This window comes from Homo sapiens, chromosome 4, assembly GCF_000001405.40.
Source record: "Homo sapiens chromosome 4, GRCh38.p14 Primary Assembly".
Classification (NCBI taxonomy): domain Eukaryota; kingdom Metazoa; phylum Chordata; class Mammalia; order Primates; family Hominidae; genus Homo; species Homo sapiens.
In genome coordinates this window covers 27,818,600-27,845,381 of record NC_000004.12, presented here as the reverse complement: position 1 = coordinate 27,845,381, position 26,782 = coordinate 27,818,600, and the positions used below count along the sequence as shown (strand labels likewise).

Genomic DNA, 26,782 nt, shown 5'->3' with positions numbered 1-26,782 from the left:
TGAGTTAGATATAAGACTAAGCCTTGTTGATGTGTTTTGAGAGATGAAAAACAGTTTTCCCTTTCCCTACTATTCACTTATCACCCTGAAATAATCAACTTTAGAATCAGTAGTAGATTAGGTAACAAAAGCAAGAATATTCAATCTAAAAGTGTTAGTGTATAAGAATAAAATTATGAAAATAATAAGTAGAAATAATTTTAAAAGGTGATAGGCAAACTTCTCATATCATAGAATGGATGAGAGATTCCTAGGTTAGCAATTAGAAAATGAGAACTGCCAAGAACAGTGGCTCATTCCTGTAATCTCCACAGTTTGGGAGGCTGAGGCCGGAAGATCACTTGAGGCCAGAAGTTCGAGACCAGCCTGGGCAACATAGCAGATCCCATTTCTACCAAAAAATGAAAATGAGACTTGCTAGCTTTTTGCTTTGGCAAGTTACAAATTATTTGACCTAATTTCATTATTTTTGCCTTCTCTGTAGTGATTTATTAAAGCTGAAGAATTTTGAAGATTCTAAAGCACTATAGAAAATGAGGTATAATTATTATCAAATTATATAATCATGCCATTGAAATCTCTACCAAGGCCTTGAGTAATTCCAGGAAAATCTGACAAGATTCAGCGAAGAGAAAGCAAACGGTATAAGAGTAAATCTGATGAATGCTATATTCACTGCTATATTCTCAGTGTGTAACAGAGCCCAGCACATAGCAAGAGCTTAATATGCATGAGGTTCTAGAGAAATTGGCACCCTCATACATTACTGCTAAGATTGTAAAATGATGCATCCACTTTGGAAAGCAATTTGGCATTTCCTCAAAATGTTAAATATAAAGATACCATATGATTCAGAAATTCCACTCCTAGAAATATACCCAAAATAAATGAAAACATATGTCCACATAAAAACTTAAACACTCATGTTCATAGCAGCATTATGTATAAAAGTCAGAAAGTGGAATAACCCAAATGTTCATCAGCTGTTGAATGGATAAATAAAATGTTCATACAATGGAATCTATACAATGAAATATTTGACAATCAAAAGAAATGGAATATTGATACATACTTCAACATGAATGAACCTTGAAAACATTATGCTAAGTAAAAGAAGTCAGTCATAAATGTCCATAATAGACAAAATAATAGATACAAAAATTAGATTAGTAATTTCCTGAGACTGGACATCAGGGACGAATGAATGTCATTAATATTACTCCTTTTTTAAATTATATAAATGGTGTAAAATTTGTGATGATAATTGCTCAACTCTGCAAATACATTAAAAACTATTGAATTCTACACTGTAATTGAGTTGTATGGTACATGAAGTATATTTCAAATCTGTTCTTTAAAAAGCTTTAATATGTGTTGTTAGACTGAATGACTTTTACATGGAAACAGAAAGATGAGGATTTGGCCCAAAAAGGAAAGTAAAAACAAGAGAGTTCCCAGAGGATATCATCTGTGTGTCCAGAATTTGTGAGGAGTGAGGGACAAATTGTTGCTCAAAATGCCTCCAAAAGTAATTAAGAATCAAGAGAGTAATTATTCTGAAATTCATTAAGCAAAAAATATCTATTTTTAAAGTTTTAAAAGTTTTTAAAAGCTATTATATACCCAAATACTTTTAATTTTTATTTAAAATAATAGGTTTTAAAAACTTTTAAAACTTTAAAAAATAGGTAATATAAGCTTTTTTCCTTAATTACACATATGTTTATTGCAGCACTATTTACAACAGCAAAGACTTGGAACCCAAATGTCTATCAATGATAGACTGGATAAAGAAAATTTGGCACATATACACCATGCAATACTATGCAGCCATAAAAAAGGAGGAGTTCATGTCCTTTGCAGGGACATAGATGAAGCTGGACACCATCATTCTCAGCAAACTAACACAAGAACAGAAAACCAAACACCACATGTTCTCAGTCATAAGTAGGAGTTAAACAATGAGAACACGTGGACACAGGGAGGGGAACATCACATACCATGGCCTGTCCGGGGGTGGGGGGACTACAGGAGGGATAGCAATAGGAGAAACACCTAATGTAGGTGACCAGTTGATGGGTGCAGCAAACCTCCATGGCACATGTATGTCTGTGTAACAAAACTGTACGTTCTGCTCATGTACCCCAGAACTTAAAGTATGATAATAATAAAAAAGACAAATTATGCCATTTTAGTGGAAAAAAATTATGAGTATGTGTCTAATATCTGGCCTTATGTATAAAATACAATTTCTTCTCTCAGAATAAATATACTGGAAGAGAACTGCTTCTATTTTCCTTTGAATTCTACTCTAATACGATTTCTCATACCCACAGAGGTGAATGGGTTATTTGTTTTGTTTTTTGTTTTAGGAAAATGTTTTATCTTAAAGAAAATAGAGATAGTTCTAAAATATTTTGCACTTATATACACATTTATAAGAGCCAGAACAGTAGACTCTGATTTGACTAAAAATCCCAAAACAGCACCTGAATTTCCTTTGTGACTTAAATTCCGAAATCAAATGATTTTATCCCTCCACATTATGTTTCTCCATTTGCGAAATGATCTTCATATAGGGAGGGGTGTGGTATGAACAAAATTACCCAATATGTGAAAATGAAATCAGTATTTCAGAAAAAGAAATAAAAGAAATATTTTACTTAGCCATATCTACTTTGACTATTATTGAATATAGATATGAAACTATGTTAAGGAGATTCTTCTGTTTCGTGTACAGTTCTGACAAAATATCAATACCATATGCAGCACATGGAGTACAGGTCTTGATGTTGCCTTCCTTTGGATATGCTATTAGACTCCTCACACTCTTCTTCCTTACCATCCTGTCAATCAGAGCCCTATGGCTTCCTCATTGAATTCAACTTCTTTTTATCCTTATTGATACTTACTTAATACATTGATTATCATCTCTCTTAAACTCAAGCAATATCCTCTAGGTTTTGTCTTGTTCTGATTTGTTCTCAATAAGTTAGGATAAAGTTACTAAAATGAAATAATCATTCTATTAGTTAAGGTAGACTTGCTATATAACTAATGTAACCCTTTTCTAGCTCTCCATAGCACAATCATAACAGAAGTTTATTTCTTGCTCACAATGGCCATGAGCAAGGGCATGAGTTAGCATGGCATCCCTACTTCATGTTGTCATTCACGATCCAGCTCTTAGAGTCTTCTCCATCTTGTGTAAGTGGCCACAATGGTAATCTCATATCACCATTTGATCCGGCTGTTAGGGGAAAGGGCATAGGGAGTATGGCGTTGAATGTCTTTGTATCAGGCCAAGGAGTGTTGCTGATCACTTACACTCACATTCCTCTGGCCAAAAATAAGTCACCTGAGTTCATGTAAATGAAAATGAACATAGAGAATTCAAGAAAAACAAAAATGTGGGTTTTGATGATTGCTGAGAAATTTCTGTCACTTTCCAAATATTATTTCCCTATGTCGAAACTGTTATAAATTGTACTGAGATCAAATAGATGTGCACAGTGAGAGAGGTGAATAAAGAAGGCAGAAGTGGGAGGTCACTTTAAAAAAACTGGTTTTTCTAAAAGTGGTAGCCTTGATGGTAGAGGCTGTGCTAATAGTTCATATTGACTAATATGTCAATCAATATCTGTGCTGGTGGGAGAAGCACTCTTACACCAGATTCTGAGAGGCAAAGGGAGTATAGCTACTAAGAGGTATTATTTTAAGATACAGTCCTTCACTATATCAATAGAAATTGTATGAGAATTGTAAAGAAACACCTTACAAAGTTCTGATATCCCACATCTACAAGGAACTTAAAAAACATTAAAAGAGGAAAACAAATAATCTCATTTAAAAGTGGGCAAAGGACATGAACAGACATTTCACAAAAGACATACACGCAGCCAAAAAGCATACGAAGAAAAGATCATTAGAGAAAGGCAAATCAAAACCACAATGAGATACCACCTCACACCCGTCAGAATGGCTATGAATAAAAAGTCAAAAAATAACACATGTTGGTGAAGTTGTGGAGAAAAGCGAACACTTATACACTGTTGGTGGGAGTGTCAATTAATTCAACCATTGTGGAAAGCAGTACGGTGATTCCTCTAAGAGCTAAAGGCAGAACTACCATTTGACCTGACAATCCCATTACTGAGTATATACCCAGAGGAATATAAACCATTCTACCATAAAGACACATGCACGTGAATGTTCATTACGGCACTATTCACAATTGCAAAGACATGGAATCCACTTAAATGTCCATCAGTGACAGACTGGATAAAGAAAACGTTGTGCACACACACCATGGAATACTATGCAGCCACAAATAGAATGAGATCATGTCTTTTGCAGAAACATGGATGGAGCTGGAGACTATTATCTTTAGCAAACTAATCCAGGAAGAGAAAACCAAATACTGTATGTTCTTACTCATAAGTAGGAGGCAAATGATGAGAACTTCTGAACAGAAAGAAGGAATCAACAAACACTGGGGTCTACTTGAGGGGAGAGGGCGGGTGGAGGGAGAGGAGCAGAAAAAATAACAATTGAGTACTAGGCTTAATACCTGCATGATGAAATAATCTGTACAACAAGCCCCTCTGACACGTGTTTACCTATGTAGCAAACCTTCATATGTACCCCAAACCTATAAAAGTAAAAAAAAAAAAAAAGAAAGAAAGAAACATAAGGAGCCATCGGGCCTCTCTCACTTTTCCAAGGATTCGTCTTGCTAATAGCCAGTCCAAGAAAATTCAACAAAATGTAATATGTTTTTTGAAAAAGAATAAACATGACATCCATAAAAAGATCCTGTGTATAATTAACTGTAAAACTTAACAAAAAAGAAAGAAAAATGTAAACAAAATTTGTTTTCGTTTTTCAAATTTTTGAAAGGTTTTCTTTTTTCAACAAAACCAAAAACAAAAATTTTATTAGAAATTAGATAAGATTATTTCTAACATTTCGGAGAAACAGAAATTTCTCAGCAATCATCAAAACCCACATTTTTTTTCCTGAATTCTCTATGTTCATTTTCATTTACATGAACTCAAGTAACTTATTTTTGGCCAGAGGATTTGAGTGTAAGTGATCAGCAATATTCCCAGGCCTGACACAAAGAAACATGAGAAATTAGATAAAATTGTTTTTACAAAAAGAGAAAATGTTTAAGCGTATTTAAAAGTAAAATGGTAAATATTGATAAAGTTAACCCTAATTACTAAATTTAGGAGAACAAGACACAAAATAATTGGTTGTTTTCTCTCTTACCCATATAAGAGAGATATTATAATTTTTAAAAAAAAACAAAAATTGAATGTAGTATGTAAAAGCATATAAATGAAAGGTAATCACTACAATAAAACCACAAACAATTCTACATATAAAACTATACTTGTTAAACATATAAAAATATTTAGTATCATTTATAATAACAGACACACAAATTTAAACTGGTTTTAGATACTTTTTTTTGGACTGTCAGATAAGCCAAAACTTAAAATTCACTGCATGCTCCATTATAGAGGAGACTGGAAAATAGGCCCTCTTCTGCATTGTTTCTGGGAGTGCAACAATGCCATGACTTGCTTCCAGGAAGGATAATCTATTATTTAATATTTAGGATTTCAAATAAACTTACTTTTGATCCATTGATTCAATTTCTATGACTCTGTCCTAAGGGTCTACTTTCATCTACAAAATGTTGTGTGCACAGTGGTATGGATTGCCATAGTTATCATAATAGAAGACAAGGAAAAAAACTATTCTTTTAGTTTTTTTCTAAACTGTAAAAAAGACTATATTTTTACACATGTAAAAGAGACTAGTTAAATAAGTGGCATACATGCAGATGAAAAACAGAACAGGGAAGCTCTCTTCTACATATATAAAAATATATCCAGGAAATATTGTCAATTTAAAAAAAAGAAGAAAAGAAAAAGAACTAGTGAGATGGATAAAAAAGGTGTGTCCAAGTATGTCCCAGAGTTTTTTGTTGGGCTGTTATTTTTAACAAAATCATAAATAATTGTAAAGAATATAAGACAATGACATTCAGAGAATAGACTTTAAAGCAATATCCAATATCTTGAGAAATTTGTTTTTTTTTTTTAAGGAAAGTTTCCAGTGTATGCTATTATAAGGTTAAATAGAATTCTGTAGAAAATTTGCAAAGGAGATAATTGCTAGTTTTCCATTAAAAGTTATAAAAATATATTTTATACATATATACATTTATATACCCACCTAATAAGAGAAACACAGTTAAGCAGCTGTTGAAGCCTCAAATCCTTGAGAAAATTTTATCTTCAGGTTTGACTTCAAGGCAGAACTATTGAGGTAATTTCTAAAGCAGCAGTTATGGGACACAATTATTGTACAGGACTCCAATTTCAGTTCCTGTTGAGTAGCATACGCTATATGGTAGAGTGATCCATACTAGAAAACTTTAAACTGGTTCCTTCTTTGGAGAAATTTTCAGATTTTTTGATTAAATGTAAAGATAACTTTCTTAACTGCCTGTTAAGAAAAAAAAACCATGTGTATGAATTGATATATATTTATAGTTTAACTAGAAAATATATATTAAAATAAATACAGAAAAAGATCATGAATACCAAAGAGTAGATCTGTAATAAAATGAACAACTGAATAGGAAGCCACACAAATAAGAAGTGGAACGTTCTCAGTACTTTGGATGTTACCTGTGGAATACCTCAGTCCTGATTACATCATCTCCCTAAAATATATATTATTATTTTTGCATGTGTAAGCATTATATACATTGAATGTCTCTGTGTGTTTTCTTCTGTATTTTTTCTCATTATTATATTTTCATATGCTTTAATTCCTACAACTTGATATGTTAGCTATATTTGATTGAATTTTAATACTGAATAGTGTTCCATTACATCAACAACCCTCAGCTTTTTTACTCTATTATAATAGATAAACATGTATATTTTTCCATATTTGTGCTGTTATGAATAATACAGGAAATGTTATATATACTTAGGAATGGAATGGTAGGTTATGTTTTATCTTCACTAGTAATTATTTTAATGTCTATTGTTCCTTATATTAATTCAGCTCCTCCAGCCTTCTTTGTTCAGTTTTTACCTTATAAAGTTTATTTTATAGGCAGTAAATAGATCACTCAATTATAATGGCAACCAGAAACTCAGATTATACATTGCCAGTAGCCATACCCTAAAATAAAACCAAAGGTAGAAGAAAAATAATTCTAGATCTAACGAAATAAATAGAGGAAGGAAAGAAGAGCTTGAAAAAGAACAAATAGAAATGAATGTTTACTATAAAAAGAGTACCATATTGACTTATGAGGTTAAAATATAGGTAGAACTTAAAAATCTGAAAACAAGAATACAAAAAACAGAAAATGTAGATGGAGTTAACATTTTCCAAGCCCCTTTTGTTATCAGAGGAGTGTAAAGATAAATAATTTGTATCTGACCTTAATATGACAATGATACATATCCAAACCTCTAGGGTGGCACTTCACATTACAGGTTGAGCATTTCTAATCAAAAAATCAAAAATCCAAAATGTACCAAAATAAAAAACTTTTTGAGAGCTGACATGATACTGCAAGGGGAAAATTCCAGACCCAGCCTGAACACTGTTCCATGTGATGGGTTGCAATTAAAATGCAGGTGCACAACACACAGTTTATTCAGCATCCCGAAAGAGCTAAAAAACAACCAACCAATCATCCCTGCCCATTCAGCTGCAATCAGTCTTTTTTGCACATACACAGATTACTCCACATAATCACACCCAGAAAAGGGTGATAAAGTGACATACATGCAGGCCAGATGCGCCAACAGTAGGTTCCCCACGACACCGCACGTGGAGCCCATATCTACATACATTACTCGCTGTGGTTTTTTTGCTTACTCTCTACTCTGTGGTGTAAGAATATTGTTGAATATATCATAAAGGCCTATGGATACCGCTATGGGTAACAACGATAAGAAAAAAGGCATTTATGTTTATCTATAGCACAAAATGTCAACCTGTTGAAGGAACTGGACAGTGGTGTAAGTGTGAAACATCTAACAGAAGACAGTGGTATAGGAATCACCACCATGTATAACCTGAAGAAACAGAAGGATAAATGTTGAAGTTCAATGCTGAAAAATATGAACATAAGTTGAAAAATAGAAAAACACTGCATAATGCTAAAAATTAGGATCTCAGTTGTGCATTGAAAGAGTGGATCTGCCAGTGCTGCTGTGCACACATGCCATTGGTGGTATTCTAATCATGAAAGGTCTATTGAAGTGAACTGAAAATTGAGAACTGTGAGTGGTCAACAAGCTAGTTGCAGAAATGTAACAAAAGATGATGCTTTAAATTTTTAAAGATTTGTGGTGATAAAGCATCTGTTCATCATGAAGCAGTGAAGAAATTCATTGACTATTTTGTCAAGATTATTGCTGATGAAAATTTGAGGCCAGAACAAATCTATAATGCTGATGCAATATCACTCTTTTTGCATTATTGAGACAGGAAGACACTGACTACAGCTGATGAGACAGACCCTGGAGGAATTAAGAATGCCAAGGACAGAATAACTGTGTTGGGATGTGCTAATGCAGCAGGCATGCATAAATATAAACTTGCTGCGATAGGCATAAGCTCGCGTCGTTGCTGTTTTCAAGGAGTGAATTTCTTACCAATCCATTGCTATGCTAACAAAAAAGCATGAATCACCAGGATCATGTTTTCTAATTGGTTTCACAAACATTTTGTGCCAGTGGCTCATGCTCACTACAGGGAAACTGGAATGAATAATAACTGCAAGATTTTATCATTCCTTGATAGTTGTTCTGCTAATCTTCCAGCTTAAATTCTCACAAAAAAGAACGTTTATGCCACGTTCTTTCCCCCAAATGTGACTTCATTAATTCAACCATATAATCAGGGTATTTTTAGATAAATGTAGAGTAAATATAAAATCACCTTCTTGAGGAGCATTGAACAGAAGTGAAGAGAAGTGAAGATGTGTTAGGTTTTCAAAAAAAGTTTAGCATGAAGAATGTCGGATATGCTCTTGCCAATATTTGAAACACACACACAACCTCTGGCCTGTGACTATGTTCAGTGATGATAATGGAAAGGTGGTGACTTTGAAGGTTTCTGTATGCCAAGTGAGAAAAGATGATGTCTGACCTTCTTACATATGCAAAAATATACCTTCAGAGTCTTTCAGTAGGCTGAAAGAAGTGGATATCCAAGAAGTTGTTAACATGAATAATGAGGTTCCAAGTTGTTCATTCAGTGACCGATGGTGAAATAACTGAAATGGTTCTCAAACCAGATGACTGTGATAATAGTGATGATGCAGATGATGTGGTTAACACTGCAGAAAAAGCATCTATAGAAACATGGTGAAAATGTGTGATGGACTTATTGAAGAACTAGAGCAGCATGTATTCCTAACAGAACAAGACATCTTGTCAATGTATAAGATCAAAGAGAGACTTTTAAGACAAAAAGCATTGTCAATGAAAGAAATGACTGTAGATGAAACATTTTAAAATGCCATTCAGCAGATTGCTTCTTTATTCCTAAAGGACTCACTTCTTGGTCCTTCAACTACTTCTGATGTCTCTTCTAACCTAGTGTATAGTAACCTTTTAATCGGAAGAAAACATCATAGATAGAGACAAATCCTGCTGTTGTTGTTTGTTGTTGCTGTCATTTAATAGCTGATGCAAGTATTCTGGTGATGCCATGTGTTGTTTAGTTACCCTGAACACACTATATTTCATTGTTTTAATGGTATGCCACTTTTTTTTTTTTTTTACTGTTTAGTACTCATGTGGAAATAAGTGTCAGGAAACAATTGGTAGCATATAAACTCAAAGTCAGGAATGATGGTGATGCCAAAAAATCACAGACTGTACACATAGGTGGCTAAAATAGTGGCGCCTTTGTTTTCTGAGGGTTCAATGTACAAAAACGTTATAATTTTGTATGATATTATTAAATATATTATATTAACATCGTATTTTCCCATCAATTTTTATCATTATCATATGATATTATAAAAACATCATATAAAATTACCTTCAAGTTTGTGTGTATAAGGTTTATATGAAGCATAAATAAATTCTGTATGTAGATTTAAGTACCATCCCCAAGATAGCTTATTACATATATGCAAATATTCCAAAATGCAAAATAATTCAAAATTCAAAACACTTCTGATCCCAAGCATTTTCGATACAATTTACTCACTCTGTGTATAATGGCTATGGTTTGATCGTGTCCCTCAAAATGTCCTGTGTTGGGAACTTGTTGCCATTGTGATGATATTAAGAGGTGGAGCTTTTGAGAGGTAATTGGGTCATGAGGACTCTGCCCTTATGAATGAGTTAATGCTGTTATTGTAAGAGTGGGTTAGTTATTGAGGGACTGGCTTTGTCATTGAAGTGAACTGTCTCTCACATGCACTCTCTTGCCTTTCCCTCTTCTGCCTTTCTGTCATGCGATGACCCTCCCTGTATGTCAGCACCATGCATTTGGACTTCCCAGCATCCAGAACCATGAGCAAAATTAACTCACTTTCTTCATAAATTACCCAATCTGTGATATCCTGTGATAGCAGCAGAAAATGAACAAAGACAATAATAGCCTGTGATCATATAGATTTTCTATATTTGCACTGTTCTGTACAGTAGCCTCACCACAATGAGCACTTGAAATGTCACTTTTGAAATTTTAATATCATTAAATCTTATCACATTTAAATGTAATCAGATATGTGTAGGTACCAGCTACAATATAGGACAGCAAAACTCTAGGGTAATAGTTTAAACAGAGAAAGTTATCTTCTTTGATTTTATTTATTTATTTATTTTGAGATGGAGTCTTGCTCTTTCGCCCAGGCCGGAGTGCAGTGGCATGATCTTGGCTCATTGCTACCTCTGCCTCCTGGGTTCAAGCAATTCTGGCTTAGCCTCCCATGTAGCTAGGACTACAGGTGCCTACCACCATGCCCGGCTAATTTTTGTATTTTTAGTAGAGACGGGGTTTCACCATATTGGTCAGGCTGGTCTCAAACACCTGACCTCAGGGGATCCACCTGCCTCGATCTCCAAAAGCCCTGGGATTACAGACGTGAACCACTGTGCCCAGCTGAAACAGAAAAAGTTAAATAAATAACTGGTTAATAGAGAAAAATATGGTCTAACACAAATATTTCTTTAACTTAGAAACATAAGAAAGTAGGGAAGAGAATATAAAGTAAAAAGTCAAATTGAAAATGAATAACACAAACAAACACAAATAGATCAGTAATTACTTCTAAGATAAATGAAATAATACTGCAGATTAAAAATTATAATTCTCAACATGTGTGAGAAAATAAGACCCAAATATATAACTGTGTTTTGGTTATAAACAGATGCTAGGAAGTTAGGTAGGTAGGTAGATAAATGATAGATAGATAGATAGATAGATAGATAGATAGATAGATAGATAGATGATAGATAGACAACAAACAGAAAAATAATGAAAAAATATGCAGTGAAAGTACTACTCAAAATTAAGTTGATTTATCTAGCCCAATATCAAACAAGCAAACAAAAAAATTAAAGCAAGACATATTTCTAGAGTTGAAATGGAACCTAGGAGAATTTCAGGAACATATGGGATTGCTTTACTTTGTATAATCAATGACATAGTTTACACACATACAAAGCAAATCTATCTCTCTCTATATATGCATATATATGTATTAAAAACCAAAAACAATAGACAAATCCACAATCACAGATAATTTAACGTCCTATTTCTTTTTCTTTTCTTTTCTTTTTTTTGAGACAGAGTCTCCCCTGTCGCCCAGGCTGGAGTGCAGTGGTGCAATCTGGGCTCACTGCAAGCTCCGCCTCCCAGGTTCACGCCATTCTCTCCTGCCTCAGCCTGCCCAGTAGCTGGGACTACAGTCGCCCGCCACCACGCCCGGCTAATTTTTTGTATTTTTAGTAGAGACGGGGTTTCACCGTGTTAGCCAGGACGGTCTCAATCTCCTGACCTAGTGATCCGCCCGCCTCGGCCTCCCAAAGTGCTAGGATTGCAGGCGTGAGCCACCGTGCCCAGCCTTAACATCCTATTTCTTGATGATCGTCTGCCTTATCACCTGACTGAGGTAGTGTTTGTAAGTTCTCCTCACATTAAATTTACTTTTTTTCACTGTCCATGTAGTACTCCCATCATTTCAGGTTTCATATAATTTGTTTTTCTTTTTAGCATTTTCTTATTGTCAAGCACTATAAGACATTCCAGGTTCATTATGTATATTTTAAGCCTCAGCCCGGAATCAGCCATTTTTCCAAGGAGCCTTGAGTCCTTTTACTGGAGGATGCCATTAGAAACCATTATCTGCATGCTGAAAGTGCCTTAAATTTTTCTGTTCTTATATTTACAAGGTATATATATATATATATATACACACACACACACACGTATATATGTGTGTATGTATATATATGTATGTGTATATATATATATATATATATATATATATATATATATATATATACATGTATATATTTTAATTTTGAGATGGAGTTTCACTCTTGTTGTCCAGGCTGGAGTGCAATGGCAGGATCTCGGCTCACTGCAATCTCTACCTCCCAGGTTCAAGTGATTCTCCTGTCTCAGCCTCCCAAGTAGCTGGGATTAGAGGCATGCGCCCCCACACCCATCTAATTTTTGTATTTTTAGTAGAGATGGGGTTTCACCATGTTGGCCAGCCTGGTCTCGAACTCCTGACCTCAGGTGATCCACCCACCTTGGCCTCCCAAAGTGCTGGAATTACACGCGTGAACTACCACACCCGGCCACAAGCTTCTTTTTCATTTTTAAAGACTATTAAATAGAAATATAGTAATCTTAAACTCTGAATCCAATCACTTCAACAACTGATTTATATGTGAGTTTATTTTTGTTCACTCTTGTTCTCTTCTATGCCAGTGTACGCTTTTGATTTCTGAAAGTTGATCATTAACTTGGAAACTTTATTGAAAATGAATTTTCTTTTCTAGGAAAATTGTGTTTCTGCCAGTTACCTGCAGGCTCCACCACCTCAGCATGTTTAAATTAAACTATCCTTTTGAGGTTTCTATGTCAATAGAAGTTTGAATTTTCATTGCAAAGACATGAGATGACTGTGGTTATGAATTCTCAGTGAGAATACGTAACTTTTCCTCCTCTCCAATGCCAATCTGAGATAGGAAAATCTCTTGGCATTGCACTCTTCGCAGCAGGATTCCTTTCTGTATCATCTCTTATAGTGCAGCTGTATCCTTTGAATTTTCTATAAAATTCTCCACATTGATTATATCTAAGGTTTTGTTTCTTATCCACAAACGCTAAATTTGGGGCTTACATTCTTTGACCCAAGATTTGGCAGAAATTTTCAGTAGCAAAGTCATCTTTGGCAGTAGGTGTCTCACAAAATGTCTGTTTTTGCCTTTTCTTTGATTCTGAATTTCATGCTATTTCAAGGATGCATTTTTATTACTTTCTTAATTACACGGAATAGTAGTTGTTTTGGCCTGAAGGGATTTTCAGTTTCCCTACAACACCATGCTGTCAAAAAATATAGGGCAATATGTTCTCTGACATTTTAGCCAGTGTAACAACTGTTTATTCTTGGTGAAAATGAAAATGTTTTTGGTTACATTAAGGTGCACAAATTAATTGTGAAATTCTTTCATTTCATGATTCTACATTATTACTATTAAAAGAAAAATATACTGATTTTGGAAAGAATATAAAATTTAAGTCATACATGTCTCATTTTATATTAAGCATATTGTGTCATTAAGGAGAGTAACTTTAAAATGATGTCAGATAACCTATTTCTCAAGACTCCTATAATGTGCAATAGCTATAGTGTAAGTTTCTCCCACAAAAGGAAGACAGAAATACAAGGTGCATTGGGAAATAATCTCTGAGGTTTCATAATCTAGAGAAGGGACCAGATTACTTAGCAAGAAATTTGAGATTTTAAAAAATCTTTGTAGTTTTTGGTTGTTCGGGAGTTTCCATGGACCTGGAGAAGAAACTTTAATTCCTCAATGATTCCAGTTTTTCACCTGATGGAAAGACAAAACATGCACTCTACTAAGATACTGTGTCTAACTCCTCTTCTCCAATAGAGAAGAGTATTTGTAACACTTTTCTGTTCTCCTCTGGTAGAATAGGTGGGTAATTTTTGCCTGCTAAATTTGGGTGCTTAAAACTTTTGCCTTAAAGCTGACTCTAGTATATGGCCGAACTACTATTTTTAGTAGAAAAACGTTTAATGTAACAAACCTGCACGTTGTGCACATGTATTCTAGAACTTAAGGTATAATAAAAGAAAGAAAAAAAAAAGAAAAACATTTAAAATACATTTTACTCGTTATTTTTGAATAATGAAAATAAAACTGTAAAAGGAGTCTTGAAAAAATGTGCACTACTTTTCTAAAGAGTGATTTACAACCAAGAAAGCCACAAATTATGGAGGGCATAAAACCAAGCAGTTACCGTTTCTTGTGAACCTAATTAATAATCGTAGTACATATGTCTGATTGTATATATCTCAATGCCCAGAAACTTATATTCACAGTATATCTTAATACAAATTCATTATGAAGTTTCTAATATTTTATTTTGCAAACATTTTTTTCTATAAATTTTATTAAATGTTATTCCCATACTTAATTTGAATCACAGAATCAACAAGTTTTGGAAGGTAAAGTGGCTGTTGAAGGAAAGTCATACATAAAATAGGCTTGTACAGCAGGGAGACTTTTTTTTAACTCTCTAGTTTTACTGCCATGGATGTGTTTAGTTACCCTGCCTAGTCTCAGTTTTCTCACAATGCAATGACATGGAACTAACGCCCGCTTAACATCCAGCATGACACCTTGCACTTAGGAAGTATTAAATCAAAGTCTCCATTACAGAAAGTATATAGAATATGCAGTTGAATAGTACAGGACTTATATACTAGCTATTTTGTCTCGTCCTGGTGGCTTTACTTTTCTCAACAATAAATGGGGAAAATGAAATCTCCCAGACAGGGCTGTGGTGAGAGGTAAATGAAGTAACATACGTAACGTATCTAGCCCTGCTATTATACATATTCAATAAATATTACTTCTTTTTCCCCCTTTACCTTTTTTTCTTTGTTATCCAAATATTCTGTCTTCAATAACAAGATAACTAAGACTCAGTGAGGTCTTCGGTTTATGCAGAATTGGCAAATAGCTGCAAATGGTTGACACTTGCATGATGGGCCCATCACTCTTGCCAAGACACAAGTTGTGATATGCCACTTGAAAGTAAGTATACGTCATCTCCAATGTGCTTCTGTGTGGACTTCCTGGTGTATTATGACTGCACTCTTTCAGAGTCTCCATTTATTCCAGTTTATCATACTTTACTAGTGTGTATAGAGACTTTTGTACCAAATATATTCGTATTTATTTTTCTGATAATAGAACAAAGAAGAGAAAGGTTTCAGATTGAAAAACTTTTGATTTTATATTTTTGCAAGGTGGCTTGCATAATTTTTTACTCCCCAACTTTTAAGATGTGGAATGCCAGAAACCACACTCTAAGTAAAATGTTTAAGTGTATATTTTAGATAATACTAAAATTTAAAAAGTGATATTGTTTTAAAAACATCTTAGTCTCAACATTTTTGCATCAGTTGTGATTGTGATTGTATTGCATTTTAAGTCCAGTTTATTTTAAATTCCCTAGAGGAACACATCTCCAGGCATGTCTCAGTTTATAATGAAAGCCAATAACAAAATCAATTTCAATATGTAGGAATTTGATTTACAGGCAACTGTTTAGAAACATATCTGTTCAGCAAAATGAAATACATTTCTATGTTTGAATATGTAAAAACTTATACAAATAAAAAGTAAAAATATATTTTATATCCTGTCATCTAATTTTTCTTCAAGATATTCTGAGAGAGAAAAATAAATCAAATTCTTAGGAATTGAATAAAGTCTTATACATATGATGCAAAGTGAAGAATTAAGTTAGTTTATAAGATACCACAAATTAGAAAAGCATTATTCAGTCTAAGTTGTATGATTAATGAAAATTGGTTTTGGCTTTTTTTTGTCTGAATATCGAGTGTATTCTCTAATGAAAGCATGAAGGTATATAATAGTGTTGTATCCATGTAATATAAAGGGCCTTTCAGGCTCACATTCCTTTCTGGAAAGGAATCCTAAGGCCTTTTCCTAAGATTCCTTTTCTTTCTTCCATGGGACCTGGATAGACCAATAAAACCTTTTGAAGTAGAGATGAGTCATGTACCAAAAGGCAGATGAGGACATCATGCTCCTAAGGAGGGCCATCTCCCTGGAATTTTCTTAAAGTAACACCTGATAGCAATCATCAGTATTAGAATACAAAATTAATGTGCATAAGGAGAATATGGCAAAGATTTACTGGGAGAAATAGATCTAATTCTAAGGGTTGGAAAATTTGATCGAGACCTCAAGAACCTAAAGCGTCTCCTGCAGGATGTCAGATTTGCTGAAAAAATCCTATGTCATTGTGTAAAGATTAAGAAATCTTTATTGCTGATTTTCTGTTTCTCAGGACGGTTGTAGTTCAACATCTAGTTTTGGATGTCTTTGCCAATGCCTATTATGTAATGTTTTCTTCAGATCTCTTAATTTAAATTTAGTTTTAATTGTCTATTATAATTGTAATTTTAAAAATCCTAGTTAGTAGATCATATTTCTTCTATCGAACTTTATGTTTGTAACCATCAACCAACCTCTCTTCATTCTCCACTTGCCCCCACACTCTTCCCAGCCTCTAGAAATTATCATTTTACTCACTATCTCCACAAGATCAACTTTTTAATGTGTCAATTTTTAAAAAGTCCTTAAATTATATTGTCACTACTTCAGGCCTTAAGTAGTAAGCCAAATAAAGAACAGAAAGAACAGCTCATTTTAATCTGGAATGCAAATGGTGTTTTATGTGTTGTATATACTTAGCCTTTCAGTTCAGGGGTCTACTAACATCTGCCTAGGGTTTCTTGGTCTTCTAGTTCAAATAAAATGCAAATCCCATGCTTTATGTTGGTTCATCTTGTCCAGGTGTTTATTACACATATAGTCAACTGTAATCACGGGATATTAAAATGCTTTCAATGTGCGTAATTTAATGAGGGGTTATAGTTAGAAAACAGTTTCAGGGACTAAATATTTGTACTGTGGTCTCAGAGTGGCTATCTTGCTAGCAAGAGATCCTGATGTTTGGTAGCTATCTCGTGTATCCTTATAATAAACTTCTGTAAAACAAAGACCTTTGAATTTGCCATATTTTTTTCTGTCTGGAATACGCTTTAACTGGATCATAAAGTAATACACTCCTTTCCCCCACTTCTGATCAGCCCAAAATAATATACCCGTCTCTAGTCAACCTGCGCAAGTCGCCCTGGCTTCCTTCATGTCCAGTCACTCTAGATCTAATTTTACTATTGCATGTATTTCCTAGTATTCAGCATTCTTCAGAATGATTTTGTTCAACTGTTACATGTTAATTGTTTTTCATCCCCACTGGCTTGTAAATTTTCTATGAGCAGTTAGCTTTTCTTTCTTGCTCATCAATGAAATCACAGCACTGAAAACAGTATAGGTCATATAGACTTTGATACACATTTTCAATGATTCAATGTACCCACATATTCTAAAGTGTTTCATGCAGACACTATTATGGGATATATAAAGTGAAAATTTGCAAAATGTAAATAATAAGCTCATACTTTTTTTACAATTCTATTTATAAACTAAAGATGTTGAATAGCCTTAGAGCCAAAACAAAGCAAACTCTGTTTAATTTTTTGAAACAAGCAGTTCTCACACTTATATTTAATAAGTACTTGATGAAATACCTATTTCTGCACAACTAGCATTCACTGGAACATACTTTGTTCATTGCTAATGCAAGGGAACCTTTGTATGCCCCTTTCTTGAAACCTAGAAGAGATTAATTAATACATAGGGAAGACAGGGTGGCTGTTTGATTCACTTAAGATGTCATGTGCCAAAGTTTTTAATTGAATTTAATCCTCCTCGTGCTTTGACTGAAACAAAATATTCTGAGCTGTATTTCGGTCTTAAGAATGGAATTTAGTAGGATTATTGGTGCAGCAAAATCCAGTCAACTTGATATTTACCAACTCAATCTCTATTAATTATCATGTCACCAAATTTACTATGCACACTCTTGATAGCTCCACAAGAAGTTACTTATGAGTTCTGTTATGAATGGTACAGATTATTAACCATTAATTTATTTTAAATAGATTAATTTCAAAGAAGGTAATGATTGTACAAAAAATTCAAATAAGGGCTGGGTGCAGTGGCTCATGCCTGTAATCCCAGCACTTTGGGAGGCCAAGGTGGGCGGATCACATGAGGTCAGGAGTTTGAGACCAGCCTGGCCAACATGGTGAAACCCAGTGTCTACTAAAAATACACACAAAAAATTAGGCTGGCATTGTGGCATGCACCTGTAATCCCAGCTACTTGGAAAGCTGAGGCATGAGAATCTCCGTAACCCAGGAGGTGGAGGTTGCAGTGAGAGGAGATCACACCACTGCACTCCAGCCTGGGGGATAGAGCGAGACTCTGTCTCAAAAAAAAAAAAAAAAAAAAAAAAAGCAAAGAAAAGAAAGAAAAGCAATTGACTGAGAAATTTACTGAGATTACATATGCTTAGGAATATAGACAAACCTTGAAAGGAGATGAGGGTGGGTGTAAGAGGGTGGAAAAAGACAATAAGAAGGAATCAATCAAAGCAATTGAGTCACTACCTATTGCTTTTTCAATCAGTAAAGTTAAAACTTGATATTTCCCCAAAATCTCATTGAGATAAGCATAACAAGTTTGCCTAGTAACCTTAAAAAATGAAGGTAGTAAGCTGACTATAAATATATCACTTAAACAAGTAACTTCTGCTTAAAGTTCCAATTGCGAAACAGATTGGATAAAGAAAATGTCATATATATATATATATATATGCAATTATAAAACATTATAATAAATTAATGAATTAATAGGTATAGAATGCTAATAAAAATAGAATGAAGAATACCAGCCTTGGAGTTTTAACTTAGGCCTCTAAATTTTCAGCTAACCTCTTCAGCGTTTCACTAAAAAAACTGAAGAATGAGCTTTCAAAAATCCTAAAATTACTCTTTGTTGAATATAATTCATAAAACCCCCATTCCTCCAGAGAGAAATTTGAGAAGAAATTTCATCTTTGGTATTTACTGCTATTAAAAGCAAATATTCCTAAAGATAGTAAAATAAAAACAATGATGAGCTTCATATTATTAAGAAGAAATCAACTTAGATGATCAGACTATTAACATAGATACCAGAAAACAGAAAAATCCTTCTGAAATAACATTTTGGTTGTTTTTGTCTTTTGCCTGCAAACTAAAGAAATACTTCCTTAGTCTCGAGAATCAGGCAATGAGAACAGCAGAAATGTCATTTTAACCATCTTCTGGAGAAAGCAGGAAGAAGAATGCTTGTTCTGCATATTAAGTGATTAATGAACCTTGGATTAGTTTTGACTGATTTGCTGTTGAGCTTTTTTGCCTGGGATAGTTTGTCAGCAGTAAAGTTGCCGACAGTGTTTTATACAGAAATTAAATCATTTCAGGAGTTTGCAGAAGGCTTATATAACATTCCAGACAGTATTGAAAGTTAAAAAATCTAAATAATGTATATGCTGATAGAGTCACAACCATTTGGCAAAAAATTGTACATACTGAATACATTAAACTAATAGCAATCCATTTTGGTTCAATGAAAGTACAGCAATAAAAGATATTCATGATGCACATCATGAACCATTTAGAAATGTGTCTCAGTACAGAAGAAAAGTTATGAATTCTTCATACAAAAACATCACCAGCTGCAAATATGGCTGCTGTTGAAGACAAAAGAGCCTGCTCTTCACACACTTAGGTGTTTCTGAACCATACAGGAGAGCGAATGAGCCTTTGATTTAGATGTTGCTTTGAGGTAAAAAGGGATATAAATTGTCTATATTATCCATATAATATATATTTTTGGATTAAAAATAATACATACTTAAGAAAATTAAAACTATATAATAAATAGCAGACAAAAATTAAAAATGCTACCACTTTCAGAGTAAACTCCTATAAACGCTTTGGTAGATTTGTTTTCAGGATATTTTCTATGTCAAACATATTCAAAATTAGGCCCAGAACATATATTATAAATATATATGTTATATATATAATTTCCATATGAAAAAATATTAATATAAAAGATTGTTTTCCATTTTCCCTATGAACATTTTTATTTTTATAAAGTTTTCTTTAAAAACTGATTTTCATGGTTTCTCACAATGTCATATTTTAACTACAACAAAATATATTCCATATTCTATTATTAACTAAGCTTTTAATTACCATTTTATTATTATAAATGACATTTATATAATGTATAGAATATGTAATTTTTATATATTATATATTAATTATATTTATATATTATATATAAATTACATATACATTTATATAATTTATATAATTATATATACATTTATATAATTATATATAATAATACATTTATATAATATATATACATTTTTGTAACTAAAATTATAATACTGATTTTTATAATGGAACAGACACAAGCTTTCAAGTCAAACTGAGAGTGTACTTATTCGAGGTTACCATTTGTGTCTATGTGCACCAACCCAAGTTGCAGAAATTAACCTTGAACTCAATTTTTTCTATGTTTATTTCATTTCACCTAAAATTGGATTCAACTATCCTTCAATTGGATGGCACACTTGGGTGGCTCTCCTCTAAGTGATGCATTCAGGGATTCTTCATCCTTCCTTCTTCGCACTAAGCTGTTTAGAGCGCTTTGCTTTTGGCTTCCATGGGTGAAGGAAAGACAGCATATAAGACTGCAAAGAACGTTTTATGGCCAAGTCAAGTGGCACATATCATGCCTGCACTACTTTCCATTGGCCAAAACTCAGTCACATGTTTCCACCTAGTTTCTTAGAAATTAGACATGCACACTTCCTGCTCTGCTGGAAGGAAGATGTAACAGTCCCATTCACAAATACCTTACAGGGTCATTAAAAGGAATAAGTAAGATAATATACAAAATTGTCAAATAAATGGTATTAAGAAAGTGAGGAGCACAATTTAGCTTTTAATGTCTAGAGTAGGGAGTTGATTGGTTGTTGATGTCCATAGCCTAAAACAGGGAAGGCCGGAAGCTGGGTCCTCCCATGGTGATTGCTGAAACTAAAAGTTGAGGCACAATCTTGCATGCTGCTGAGGCACATAGCCAGATATTTGTGTTGGAAGTTGGTGATAGACTTGGAAGGCTTTAGGTTTTGTTATTTTTTTACTAAATTTTTAAAAAATATTTTTTCTCTGTAGTACAGACATCAGAATTATCCAGTTTTTCACATTATTTCCTTCATTATGTAAATGACATATTTATACTTACAAACTACTCTATTGAATGGGATATTTCCAAATTTTAAAATTAAATAGTGGTAAAATAAACGTTTTTTTCCCCTACAATATTTTTTCTCAGTATTAGTTCCTTGGAATAAATTACCAAATGAGAAATTCCTGGGTATGCTTGTACAACTGGTCATTCATTTTTCTAGGACATTATATTGTTTTCTTAAATATTCAGATGGGGAAATGGGATATTGAACAAAGTGAAACTTTCTTTTTCATTGAAATAAATACCTGTTTACATTTTTATCATCAATCATGTATTGAGTATTGACTATACGTGAATTACTATGCTAGCTAGTGAGTATTCAAAAAAGCATAAGGCACTCTTCCTACATATGTGGAAGTACAGGAATATTAACCCCCGGGGCCATCAGTTGTGTAATCTTGGGCAGGTTGTTTAGTCTTTCTGACATTCTGTTTTCTCATTTATAAATGGGAAATAATTTAATTCTCCTTGGATTAAATGAAATAATGTACATATTATCTTTAGCAATAGTAGCAGATATATACTATTTGTTGAGTTCTTATCATCTGCTAGAAACTTATTAAATGAGAATTTATTATTAATATCAAGAACCTACATATTGACATGGATCAGGCACAAAATTTAAAAAATGGTACTAGGTAGCATATGGCAAGGTGCCATGAATGTATAAGAAAGTACTACTGAGTAAGGAGAAGGGGTTACTCACAAGAGATTACTTGATGAATGCTTCATGCTGAATGTAGGGATGAAAGGGCTTCATAAGAATGAAAAAAAGAACCTGAAAAAAATGCACAGATATGTTGAGACACCAATATATAGACAACCTAGAATGGGAACACAAATGGGTGAATTCATGTAGGGGATTAAGAGAGATAAATTTGAAGATGTTGAACATTAGGTTTGAGGAAGAGTAGGCAAGAGATAAACAGGAATTGGGTGGCATCCAGCATCTTCTAGCAAGTATGTTTAGGTAGACAGCCATGGGCAGTGTGATTGTTTGCTTCCTCCAAGGATTTGATGTATTATATATTTAACAAATAACAAACAAGTTTTGTTCTGTCTATCTTAATTGAAAATAGGCACCAAGGGATAACATAGAATGAGATAAATGACAATATTAATACATCCCACATCATTTATCATATATTAGAGGCCTTTCAGAGATGATCTGTTTCCAAGGAAAGACTATATGTAACTTAAAGGTTTGCCCAGTTTCACATAAAGCAAGGGAAAGCTAATTTAACTCTGGCCAAATTGTATAATATTTTGTGTCCTCAATATCTCCACAAGTTAAATAGGCAAGGCAAATTATTACAATTAAACTATTGTTTTATTGCTTGGCATTTAAGCTATTTTTAAAAAAGGATTTATTTTCAGTCTCTTTACTCACCTCAAATATGAATTATGATACCAAACTCACAGAGTGATTTTCAAGATAGAATATGAAAATGCCCAGTATGCTATCTGGTGCATACTAGACTCAATAAAACTTAAATGACTAGAAGACAGATTCAGGTCTTGGTTAACTAGTTCCATTTTTCTTTCTCTCTGAGTGAGTCAAAGAATCTCACATGAAATCAGATTGTAATGCTTAGAAGGCTTGGGCAGGGGAAGGGGAGCCATTTAGTCACAGATTCGACTTCACCTTCTCACGCCCCTTACCTCACTCCCTCAACCACCTACCTCACCGGATTTCAGTATGAACCAAAGAAGCTTACAGCAGTGAAAAAGAAAATTGGAGAACTGTAGAATGCTAGTCCAATGCCAACTATTCTTAAAATTATAACAATGCCTAGGCTTTCATAAACTCTGATATTCAAGGCTGCTTAGATAATTTATACATACTTCTATACAGAAAGGGTGGTGAATAATATTCTTTCATTGTTCTAGGGTTGGGGTCATTAATGATCTAATCTCACTAAATCCTCTGGATATATGACAAAGCAAGGTGAGATAGCACTATCTGAATCTTGACAGCCAGATAGAGAAAGGACAGAAGGCAAACTGTCATCTACCTTATTAAATCACTTTCAATATTGTACATCTCTACCTAATAGCATTGCTCTCCAACTGAAAATAGTTTTTTCTAAGTGGTACAATGAGCAATTCTTTCTGAATGTTTCCCTGTATCTTCATCTTTGTCAGATTTATTTTTCTTTTTTAAAACTAGGCTAGGGTTATCTGACTGCATTTGACAGTCTGTAGTCAGGTAAAGAATTTTAAATGAATTTTAAGACAGGAGGTCAGCCCATGAAGTGTCTTGCTGGGAAAACTGGTGACATAAACCTGCAGGGTATGAATGAAAGCAATCTTGTACCACAGAGCCAGCAGAGGCCACCTAATCAATTACAATGGCTTTTGGTAGGACTTTTGTGTAAAGAAGTTTGCATTTGTGTCATCATCTTTTAATCTGGAGAATTCTAGGAGCACATAGCGATGTACAACTGGCTAGGGATCTTAGAAAAAATACAGGTAAAAGCTGGTGGTTGTGGGGTGGGGAGATCCTGAGAATTGAATTTAATACGTGCACACTTTGATGGCAAAACTTAAATCTTTGAGTAGAAATTTTTTAAAACATGTGCTTTGCTTTTTGACTGAGGCGTGATTATAGTTCTAGTAAAGAGTAGTGACTCATTGACTAGGGAGGTATAATAAGAAGAGAGTTTAAGAAATAAGCCAGTTATTAAATTAAGAGTACTAATTCGTTGCATAATATGAAATATAGTAAATTTAGTACTTATTATAAAATCAGTAACAGCTTCCACTTCTGTATCTGTTATTCATTGCCACAATAATGGTATGTAACAAACAACCAGGAAAAAAATCATAAAGACATGCAACAAATAGTTATTTTTGCTCAGAAGTCAATTAGCCAGTTAGACAGTTCTGGTTATCTGGACTGGGCTGGGCTGGGCTGGGCTGGGCCCTTTCATGCAATTACAGTCAGGTGGGGAGCTGGTGGAGCTTGATCGAGCTTGGTCAATCTAAGATCGCACCAGCTGGTTTGGCTTTTTTCTGCACATGGTATTTTCTTCTCCAGCAAGCCACAGGGCAGTGGAAGCATTTTGAGAGAGAGAGAGAATAAAAGCACAAGTCCTTTTAGGGCCTGGGAACTGGCACACTGTCACCTCCATTGAATTTTATTTTTCAAAGTTTTCACGAAATGAGTTCAGATTCAAGGGCTGGGGGAAAATATCATCTACCTCCTCATGGGAACTGCTGCAGGTCACATTGCAAAGGGTATGGATACAGGGCAGGGGTGGAGAATTGTAGCAATTTTTACAAAAATCAAATCCAAAACAAACAGAACCTACACCCTCTGTATTGAATGATTTGTATTAAGAAGAAATATATCTGGTACATTGATTTTGTTATTTTCAGTAAATAATATCTGACCTGTTGCAATATTCAAGGCATAATATATGTTGCTACATTGGGTAGAATACGGACAGTTAAAACTAAGACATTCATAATTTAATAGAGAAAACTAATTTGTACATGAATACAAATAAGGCAAAGAATTTAAAAAAAAAAAAAGCTGTCAGAGAGATACAACTGCCCAAAGAAGGGAGACAGAAAAATCTTTGTGGAAGAATTTACACTTATGTGAAAAGTTGGATATATTGAAAATGGAGTCAAAACATTCCAAATGCCTCAGTATTCATGGGGCATTGGTTCTAGCACCTACCAGGATAGTAAAATCTCAGGATGCTCAAATTCTTATATAAAATGGTGTAATATTTGCATATAACCTATGCAAATCTTCCCATGTACTTTAAACCATCTCTAGGTTACTTACAATGCCTAATACAATGTAAACGCCATATAAATAGTTGTTATACTTTACTTTTTAAGTATTCATATTATTTTTCATTGTTGTATTATTTTTATTTTTATTTTAAATTTCAAATATTTTCAATCTCCAGTTGGTTGAATCCACAGTTGGGGAACTATGGATATAGAGAATCTGTACATGCAAAGTAAAACATATTTTAGTGTGAAACAAAGGAAAACAGAAATAGTAAGCCTTCATAGCAAAAGGACCTAAAATAGGCCCACCTTCTCACCTCTCACTTTCAGAAAATATCCCTGATAAGTGACATTTGTAAAGAAAAAAAAAGTAGCTGTATTTATAAATATTGTTAAGGATATCAGTTGCAGACCCAAGGCAGCTTTTCTCTATTAAATATGGGTCTCAGAGAGCTAGGCAGAAGGCTAGCACAGAAAAGAATTATGTTGACATGATTTGAAAGCCCTTGGAAGATCTCCCATACTTCTTCTCGAATGACTGTGGTGATCAAATATATCAGTTATTTCAGAGAAATTCCAGTGGCATCCGAGTGACTTAGGAAACCTCAGGACTCCTGTTCAGGGAATGTTTTTGGAAGGTTTAAAGGAAATATTTCCCATCCACAGAACACAGAGTGGCTCCATAGTTGGACTAATTCTCAAACCCATTCAAAGTGGTATTTAGAGAGGATTTTATCACTGACTGGTGTGAGCTGAGTCTATGTTCTTACCAAATGACTGTTGAATTTCTCTGTTTAAATCCTGGACATATTTGGAGTTGACTGCTTGTAAGTAATTCTGTCTCATATCTCATCTTAGATCCCTGAAGATCTGGGAATTTTAGAAAAATTACTGAAATAAAATTAAGCTGTGAACAATAAAAAAATTTAAAATTATCAAAGAGATAATGGTAAAAGAGAAAGAAAGCCACAGAATACAAGGTTTTATAGGTAATCTACTTCCACTTGCCCAGTGGCCCCAAAACTAGTTTTTGGCTACACGATTAGCTTTTAAAATAAAAATATAATAAATGGGAAAATAATGCCATGTAATAACTATGCACATCTCAAGTTAAAATGAGCAGAGATGAAACAACATAAAATCTTACTGTTGATTACTACTCAGAATGTTTCAAATGAAAATGGTTTTATCACTATTACTGGATATTTTTAGTTTATCTTTTCTTTGAATATCATGTTCTGGCTGGTATGGAACTTTAAGCTGTCTTATTTTGATTGATTGATTGATTGTTTGCTAAACTATACACTTCAATTGTATTTCACCTGTCTCTTCAAGTACATCCTATTTCTGTTCCAGGAGCCAATCCAAGGTCCCATATTGTATTAACTTATCACTTGTCTTTAGTCTCCTCTGATCTATAACACTTCTTCAATCTTCTTCTC

At 33.8% G+C, this 26,782-nt stretch overlaps 1 long non-coding RNA gene across 1 annotated transcript; it reads right to left on the bottom strand.

Annotated features, from left to right (window-relative positions):
- Positions 1–15,212: 15,212 nt before the first annotated feature.
- LOC105374550 (uncharacterized) lies at positions 15,213–26,222 on the bottom strand. Its single transcript, XR_925520.2, has 3 exons — positions 26,111–26,222; positions 22,297–22,368; positions 15,213–15,517 (listed from the first exon to the last, which is right to left on the bottom strand). It is a non-coding gene; the product is annotated as an uncharacterized LOC105374550 (long non-coding RNA).
- Between the last annotated feature and the right edge of the window lie 560 nt (positions 26,223–26,782).